At 49.9% G+C, this 8,422-nt stretch overlaps 1 protein-coding gene across 10 annotated transcripts in view, besides 1 other annotated feature; it reads left to right on the forward strand.

Annotated features, from left to right (window-relative positions):
* ADCYAP1R1 (ADCYAP receptor type I) overlaps window positions 1-5,704 on the forward strand; it is a 59,167-nt gene extending 53,463 nt beyond the window's left edge. For all 10 annotated transcript variants that reach the window (XM_006715645.4, NM_001199635.2, NM_001199636.2 and 7 more), the window contains one exon: window positions 726-5,704. In XM_006715645.4, the coding sequence (XP_006715708.1) occupies window positions 726-914 (189 nt within the window). In that variant the 3' untranslated portion in view covers window positions 915-5,704. The remainder of the gene's footprint in view (window positions 1-725) is intronic.
* Window positions 291-1,086: an enhancer, noted in NCBI's record as "H3K4me1 hESC enhancer chr7:31145675-31146470 (GRCh37/hg19 assembly coordinates)". NCBI's record gives its function as "activates a minimal SCP1, AML or CMV promoter by ChIP-STARR-seq in naive H9 embryonic stem cells {active_cell/tissue: H9 hESC(naive)}" and the evidence as "EXISTENCE:reporter gene assay evidence [ECO:0000049][PMID:30033119]".

The following is an 8,422-nucleotide window of genomic DNA, read 5'->3' on the forward strand; positions in this document are numbered from 1 at the left end:
GGCATGTATGTAGCTTGTTCAGAGCTTGCAGTGAAAGTAGGAGCTGGAACTGGAGAGGGTGGGTGTAGGCGCTGCTTCCAGTTGTGCAGTCTGTGCACTGCACGAAGGTGCTTGACTGAGAAGGCACATGGAGGCTGAGACTCAGCATGGCCCCCACTCACCATGCTAAGAGCTACATGGGTGTGTGTTTTCCCAGAGGGGTGCATTATTTAATGGTTCTCAACCCTGACTGGGAAGCTTTAAAAAATATGATGTCTGGGTCTTGTGCAGAACTTTTGATATAATTGTTCTGGGGTATGGCCTGGGCATCTGGAATTTTTAAAGCCCCCCAGGTAATTCTAATGTGTAGCCCACTCTTACTGGTCAGCCAAGAGTGGGGATCCTTTCCTGATCCACCTGCCCTGTGGGACTGCTTGTTAAAGATTTCCTGAAGGACCCAATGGACTATTCTCTGCCTGGCCTGAAAACAACAGGGAGCCATTAGAGGGCCTTGCTCAGAAAGTGGCAAGGGAAGGGGCTGTTCCGGTCAGCTCCTCAGAGGCTTCCTTGCCTACAGCTGCTAAAAGCCCCCACTGGAGACCTTGAGGGCCGCAGGCTGCAACTGGGGAGTGGGGAGGGTGCTGAGGGTGGCACTGCCAGCCTGGGAAGGGCCCCAGGCCAGGACAGGGCCTGGAGGCTGCAGAGGATGTCCATCTGGAAGTGACCGCCCAGTTTGCTCCCTGCAGGTACAAGCGGAGATCAAGCGAAAATGGCGAAGCTGGAAGGTGAACCGTTACTTCGCTGTGGACTTCAAGCACCGACACCCGTCTCTGGCCAGCAGTGGGGTGAATGGGGGCACCCAGCTCTCCATCCTGAGCAAGAGCAGCTCCCAAATCCGCATGTCTGGCCTCCCTGCTGACAATCTGGCCACCTGAGCCATGCTCCCCTCCTCCTCCTCTCCTCCATCCACAGGCTGGGACCGCAGGCAGGTGCCAGCCCACGCATGTTTGCGCCTCTTCCCTCCCCTTGGGCAGGCCCTGGGCTGGAAGCTTGGCTCCTGAGGGGGGAGAAGGAGGCAGGGCACAGACTGGAATTGTCCCCTCCTTGTTTTGGTACTGGTCCCACCCACTGTGGTCCCCTGGGCCCTGACCCCAGACATGTAAATACTCCTCAAATTTGGAAAAGTTGTCCCATCCCTTCCCCCTTTGCCCCAGTGTCCCTGCTCACTTCCAGTCAGGTCTCAGCTCCACCCCACTGTTTCTTGGTCAGCCTCAGTGATGGCCTGACCCCAGCTGTGAGGCCTTGTGAGCTAAGGCTGAAGAGACCTTGCCTGTGGGAGCTGGGGTGGTACCTGCCCCAACAGCCCCCCATCATCTGATTTTGGGTGTGACCCCTCGAGTGTGCATGCCACCCTGGGGCTCTTCTCAGTCCTGGGCCCAAGTCCCTGAAGCCTAGCAGAGGGCCAGCTCGGGTGGCCAGAACACCCCTTGGTGCAGGCCTCCTGGCACTCGCCTGGCATCTTGGTGTCCGGGTGCTCAGCTCCTGGGTCCCAGGGCAGTGGGACAGCTCCCAGGCTCTTCTCATCAGAGACTTCAGTTTGGGTGGGGAGTCTGCAGGTCAGGGAAGGTTCTGGTGCTTTTCGTTTGATCCAAAAGGAGCTGAGAGCCAGAAATGTGGCTGTGATTGCGAAAGAGACGGAGTTTGGGAGACCCATGGAAGAAAACCTTCGCCATCTCCATTGTTTTACCCCCAGCTCAAGATGGACAGGGTTCTTCTGGTCATCTCCCTTCCACCTCTTCCACCCTCATGGATGCCTTCCAGAAGCTGTCTCCAACCATGCACACCACAGAGAGCCCTTAAGCCCTCCCCTCCCCATTTCCCCTAAGTCAAAGCCATGACTAGGATGTACCAGCCACCTGCCTCTGATGTCGGCGAATCCTGAAGCACCTGCACCCGAATCTGGGGCCCAGGGCTGCCCGACCCCCACTCCCATGGATGATGAGGAGCCCCAGACACCAGCTCCTCTGGCCTGGACTCAACTATTGAAATCTCTCTGAGACCTCTGCAAAGATGTCCCTTTTATGCCCTTGACCTTGACTCACCATGGGCTGCTGGGGTGTCGGGAGAAGCCACACCCAACATGCCCATTAGCAGAGGCTGCTGCTGATGTGGCAGCTGCTCCCTACCACCCGCCCTGGCTCCCCAGCTGCAGGTTGCACACCCTCAGCCTGAGAATGTAAAATAGGGCAGTGCCCAGCTGGGGAGGTAGAGGAAAGTGCTAGAGTACATGGTCCGTGTGTGGCCTAGCTCATTCCATGTCAGCATTTGGTGTTACTCCTGTCCAAATTCTGTTTGCAGACTTGTTTCATGATGATGCTCTGGAATGCTTGGGGACTTTGGGTGGAGGAGGATGTTACTTCATTTTATAAAGAGGAAGGGGCCTGGGAGACTTGGGAAAATGTTTCTGGAGAGGCTTTCAGAGTGGCTGGAAAAGGCTCTTGTTGCTGTAATTTAGAGAGGAGCTCTGTGTCCTTGGCCAGTCAAGTAAGTTCCTGGATCTTTGGCAAAGCCAGAGGAAGAAAGGAGCTACCTGCCCTTTCCTGGGCATGCTTGGTGACTCAGATTGATCTTGGAGTGTGCAGTGGCCCTTCTACCCTGCACCTGACCTCATGATCCCCTCCACCTGCACTGGTGTGCATTACTGAAGCAAGGGTCCTGTGGACATCTTGCATTTTGGGCACTGCTAGGGGGTCTGGGCTGCTTGGAAGGAGCCATGGCCTAGGGTTCAGGGAACTAGACTCTATCCCAGTTGGGTTCAGACTGCTGTGACTGTGGACACGATGCTCCTTGTTCTGGGCTCCAGTTTTCCCATTTGTGAGATGAGGCAACTTCCAATGCTTCTCTAGGCCCTGCACGTAAGTGATTTTTCCAGTTCAAAGTCAAGACAGGTAAAAGGGCATTCATCATTGTGCCTCATATCAGGTTTTGATGAATATATGTGTGTGTGTGTGTGTGTGTGTGTGTGTGTGTGTAGAGGGATGGACAGGATGCTGTTTATTTTCCCTTTCTTGGAAATGGACCTTCTGTCCCTTCCATTTGGACACCACAGTGGAAGCTGGTGGCCTGGAAGGAAGGATTAGGTCATGGACATTTGAACAGGTGCCTTGGGCATGATGTATAGATGCAGTCATATATACCTTGCTGGGGTGGGGTGCCACCTCCAGTGGCCAGCTCCAGATCCAAGGAGCAGCCCCCTGGGGATGGACCCCATTCATTCATCATGACTCCCAACAGTTTTCATTGTGGAAGAAGAAACTTTGGCATTATAGAGACATCATCACAAAACAGTAAAAACAAAATCAACCCTGAACCCCATGCACTGTGCTGCTTCCTGAGCCTGGCCCTGCATCCTCATAGAGGTGCCGGGTTCCTATTGGTTAGTTGGTTGTTTTTCCGTCTGAGTGAATTTTTGCCAGTCTTGTGAGCAGATGTACCTGATGTATTCTCAATGTTCCAAGAGGTTCTGGCCTTCAGGGTCACAGGCAGTAGGGGGACAGCATAAGGTCTATGTAAAACCCTTCCCTCTCTGACCCTCTGTTTTCAAATCTGTAAAATGGGCAATAAGACTAGATGATTTGTATATAGCCCAATGCATCTCTGGAACTCTGTCTAAACACCAGCCATCTACTTGGAATGGGCCCCAGGACTGTGGTATTTGCCTGGGCCAGGAAAGGATAAGAAATCCTGTCATGTGAAGACAGCTTGAGAGGCTTGAGAAAAGTGGGGCTGGGGAGAAGCAGGCTTGTCAGACTCCACCCCTGTTGATGATCATTCCTGGGAAGGGGTTTCTCGTTCTATGCAATCCTAAAGGACGAAACTCACCCATGGGAGGCCGAATTCTCCTTGGGATGAAGAAATTTCTCTTTCCCTGTCATGAGTGTCCAGCCAGGGAGCAGGGAGGCAGTGTCAGGGAGGGACTCTCATCCTGGAGGAAATGGGATTCCAAGTCAAGGATGCTGAGGCTGTCAGGGAGCCAGAGAGGGGGGTCCAAGTGCGGGATGTGGGTGGCTCTGTGGTTCAGTGGCTCTGTGGTAGTTCCTAGCACTGCAGACTTCATGACTCCCCACTTAAGTCCAAGTCACATTGTCTATCCCAGTGTGTAGCTCTGTCACCCTGCTTGACACATCCAGTGGCCTACAGCGACTCTTCTCTAACCCCACCCCCTCCAAGCTGGGTTCTTTGTGGAAGAAGGACAGGGAGCTAGAGCCAAGCCCTAGGCTTGAGAGACACCTGCATCTATAATCCCCGCCAAGGATGCCCACTCACCTCTCTCATCTGATCCTCACTCTTTGTGGAAGGGAAAGCTCAAAGGGACTCTCTCTCTCTCTCTCTTTTTTTTTTTTTTTGAGTAGTACCCTTGCCCTCTTCATGGCCACTTCAAAGTGAAGCCAGCAAAGTGATAATACTTTATCATTTAGTATTATCATAAAGTATTAATACTTTGTCATAAAGTCCTCCTTGAGCCCAGGGACCATGGAAGTCAGCTAGAAGAGCCCTGAGCAAGGAGCAAGGACTTGGGCTTCTCCACGCTTTGCTCCTGGCTTGTTTGACCTTGACTCATTCCCCATATGTCTTTGAGGAGGCTCACAAAATACTAAAGCTGGGAGGAAACTTGGAGATCTATAGGTCAAACCTCCCCATTGGGCTGATGAGAAAATACACGCAGGCCTAGCATGGTGCCTGCCACCATGGTGGGATCCAGTATGTTTTATAAATCTGAATGAGTAAATGGCTCACCAATTTATGCATAGCCCTGCACATGAGCAGAATGTGACACTCAAAGCATCCATGCAGTACGCATGTAACCTTGCACAGGAGTGGGGCTCTGGTGACCGAAGGTTGTCCAGGACTCTTGCAGGAGAAGCAATGGAGTCAGTGTGGTGTGGGGAGACCTACTTTTTAACCTGGGCTTAGCCACCTGCTCTGTGATCCAGGGCTTACCTTCTTTGGGCCTCGGCCTCCTAATCTGGGTAATGGGGAGGACTTCATTGGCATTGTTAGTCCCACAGGCCAAGGATAAGGTTGAAATGAGACGGCTTGTGTGTGAAAAGATTTTGGAAATTACACAGATGTGGGCTTGTTATTGGGATGAAGACTGCTGGAAGGGACTCCTTGCTGTTTATCTACTGCTTTGAGCCCTCCTAAGTTAACCTGTGCCTCATTTGTAAAACCACCAGCATCAGGAGTAAGGGGGAGGCCAGAGGGCTCAGATGGACACAGAATTCTAGCTTTACCTGCATCCGCTGATTCAGTTTTCTGTTGGGATCAGAGTGAGGATACTTCCATATGGGTGATAGCAGCCATGCCCCTGGGAGTCAACTTCAAGGATCTGGGACATTTTGGTGTGCCCATTCCTTCTTTTCCTGAACTCACAGTCTTGGGGTGTTTCTGCACTTGGCTATGTGTGTCTTGTCTGATGTCTGTCTTCTGTAGCTTTGCCTCTATCAGGGCTGGAGTGGTGCAGCCCCTGGCATCTCAGACATGGTTCCTGCCTCACTTGTGGGAGCTGGACCAGCCTGGGTTTCATCTCCCACAGTAAAGCTAAGTAAGCCCCACAGACCTTACTGCTACTGCTGCTGCCATTAATGCTGTGCTCACTATCTTGTCCAGGATTTTAAGGATGTCAGACTGCTGTAGATGACTCAATAAATGTTTTGCCATTTTTCCTGGTGGCTGTAACTTGGCATAAGTGGAGGGAAGGGAGGAGAGGAGGGGGAAGGGGAGAGGACTACCCCCAAAATTTGATCATCCAAGAGTAATCCAGTGTATACAAGGCCCAGTGGACTTTAAGATTCCAAAGGAGAAATATGAGAGTGGGCCTGAGTGAGCCTAGGATGGAACTCGAAAAGTAAATTAGAAGTCTTGGCCTTAAAGGATCTCCAGGGATCATGGAAACTGAGTGGAATCATGACCTTCCTATTGTACCTTGGGAGCACCTACCAGATATCCCAAAACATTGACTGCAGAGAGCATTTCATCCCAGGTAACTACAAGTATATCCTTGGCTTCCAGGATCCCATCCCCTAATACTTCTGGATATTCCAAACCATCAGTCCCAGCCAGACCAGATAACCAATTCAAGGTAACCCTCATGTCCTCGAGGTTCTGTTGATTGTCACAATCCCAGTGTCCATTTTCATATTGGTCATAATGTTAATTGCTATCAAAAGAAGATAATTCTTGCTAGGTCAGAAAATGAGTTTATGAAAAAGATGTTGAGCTGGTCATAGAATTCTTGTAAGGCTGGAGAAACTAGAAAAGGTATCTGAAGCCATAGCATGCTGCATGACTGATGATGAAACTGCTGCCACTGTTGCTGCTGCCACCCCAGTGATGTCTCTTCCATGCCAGGGACATGACTTCGCAATTATTGCCACCTCTGAAAGCAGAGAGCTTTGCTGCTGTTCTCACCATCAAATGAGATTCCACTTTCAGCCCTCTTCCTCAAGTTGCCCACTTCTGCATCAAAGTTTCAACACCATTGGATTGGCTGTGTCCTCGCTACAAGGAAGACTGGAAATTGGACTTTTCTGGATTCTACCTTGAGGTCAGGGTCACAAGCCTGAAGATTTTCTAAACATAACAATAAAATCCTGGGAATAATAAATGCCCGCTACAACAGGCCTGAGGTCTACAGCAAATGCAGGGCCAGCTTCCTCCAGCAATCAGGTGGGCCACTCTGAAGAAGTCAAGTCAATGAAAAGATGGATTTTAGCCTAATAGTGTGTGAGCCCTGCAATCAGCTAGGGCTGTGTGGATCACTCACCAGATGCCCCCAGGTGTTCAGGGGGGTGTTCCCAAGCTGGGACACTAGTTAGTTCTTCTTTCAGAGGCTGTGCCGCTCCTCTTTCTCCAGACCCACCTCTTCTTTTAGTCCTAAAGGAGATGACCAGGCTATGTTATATGACCCACTTAGCAGATATTTTGAGTTGCTTCCAAAATGGAACCTATGCTCAAGGCTGAAAATTAGTCTCCTTGTGTCAGTTTCTGCTGGCTGATCCTAAGGAAGACTTCCCTAGTGTTTAGAAAAATATTACTTTCACTGATGTGACCATAATGAATTGAGCTTCCATATGTTTCATCCTTTGAAAGAGGTCACGTCCAAAAAGCAAAGGTAAGAGCCAAAATTTAGTTGAAAGCCTTGAATTTCACATTAAGCTTGAATTTCTTGGCAACAGTGAAGATCATCAAACTCCTGGGTCCATGTGAGCATTTATTAAATCCTGTTTCCTCTGTCCACTTTCCAACATTGATAGACTAAGCCCTCATTTCTCCCAAGACCCTCTAAAAATGCCTTGAATCTTGGCTGTTCCTGATGGTGCTGTCTGTTTTACTGGTATTGTGTATAATTCCTCTTGGGAACCCAGTGGTTCTTAGACATTATCCTGCATCAGAGTCACCTGAGGGGCTGTGAAAACAGAGATTGTGGGACCCACCCCCAGAATTTCTGATTCAGCAGGTCTGAGGTAGGGCTGGACCATTTGCATTTGTAAAAGGTTCTCAGCTGTGGCTGTTCTGCTGGTCCTGAGACAGCACTTTGAGATCCACTGTTCTACAGGTTCTAAGTGAGGACACTGGAAGGGCAACATAGTCCCTATTTGTGAACCATGGGCCTGGGCAATGATTACCTTCCCAGGAGGCAGAGAACAAGCATAGACATTCACAACAGGAGCTTTAATTTCCTTTTCCTCTCAGGCCAGTGTCTTAGAACAGAAAGCAAAACGTTCCAAGAGGAAATCAGCCTGCAGATGTCCATTCAGTCTCAATCAGCGTAAGTATTAGACTGTCTCTGAAACAACTAGTATCAAGTTCAGTGGGATATGACAGCAAAAACTCCAATAAACAGTGGCTTAAAGCAGACAGAAGTTTACTTCTCTCATATGAAGTCCAGAGGTAGACAGTCCAGAACAGGTGTTGTGGCTTTGTGGTCTCTCTGAGGACTCAAGCTTCTATCTTTTTGCTCCTCTATCTTTAACAGGTGAGTTCTAGTCTCGAGGGCACCCTAAGCTCCAGGGCCCCTGGAGCTCTGGATGTCACTGGACTTAGAAGCAAATGGGAGAAGGCAAAAGAACTCTTCCCCTTCTTCAGTCATCTTCTTTTAAGAGGCCTATGTCTGCTTACATCTCATTATCCTGTGTGTAGTCACATGGCCACACCTCACTGCAAGGCAGGCAATGCAGTGCAACCTTAATAACATTGGAAGGGAAGAAGGGATATTGACTGGCAAAAAGTAGTTTGTGTCATAAAAATCTTTGGGCAGTCCTTAGTGGTGAGTTGGGTTCATTCAACACCTGTGGAAAACCAGAGTCATATGGCTCTATGTCCTATTTTACTATATTGGGAACAAACTCAGGAATACAGTCTCCAGCCTGGACCATAAAGC

The sequence above is a fragment of the Homo sapiens genome, chromosome 7 (genome assembly GCF_000001405.40).
Source record: "Homo sapiens chromosome 7, GRCh38.p14 Primary Assembly".
Classification (NCBI taxonomy): Eukaryota; Metazoa; Chordata; class Mammalia; order Primates; family Hominidae; genus Homo; species Homo sapiens.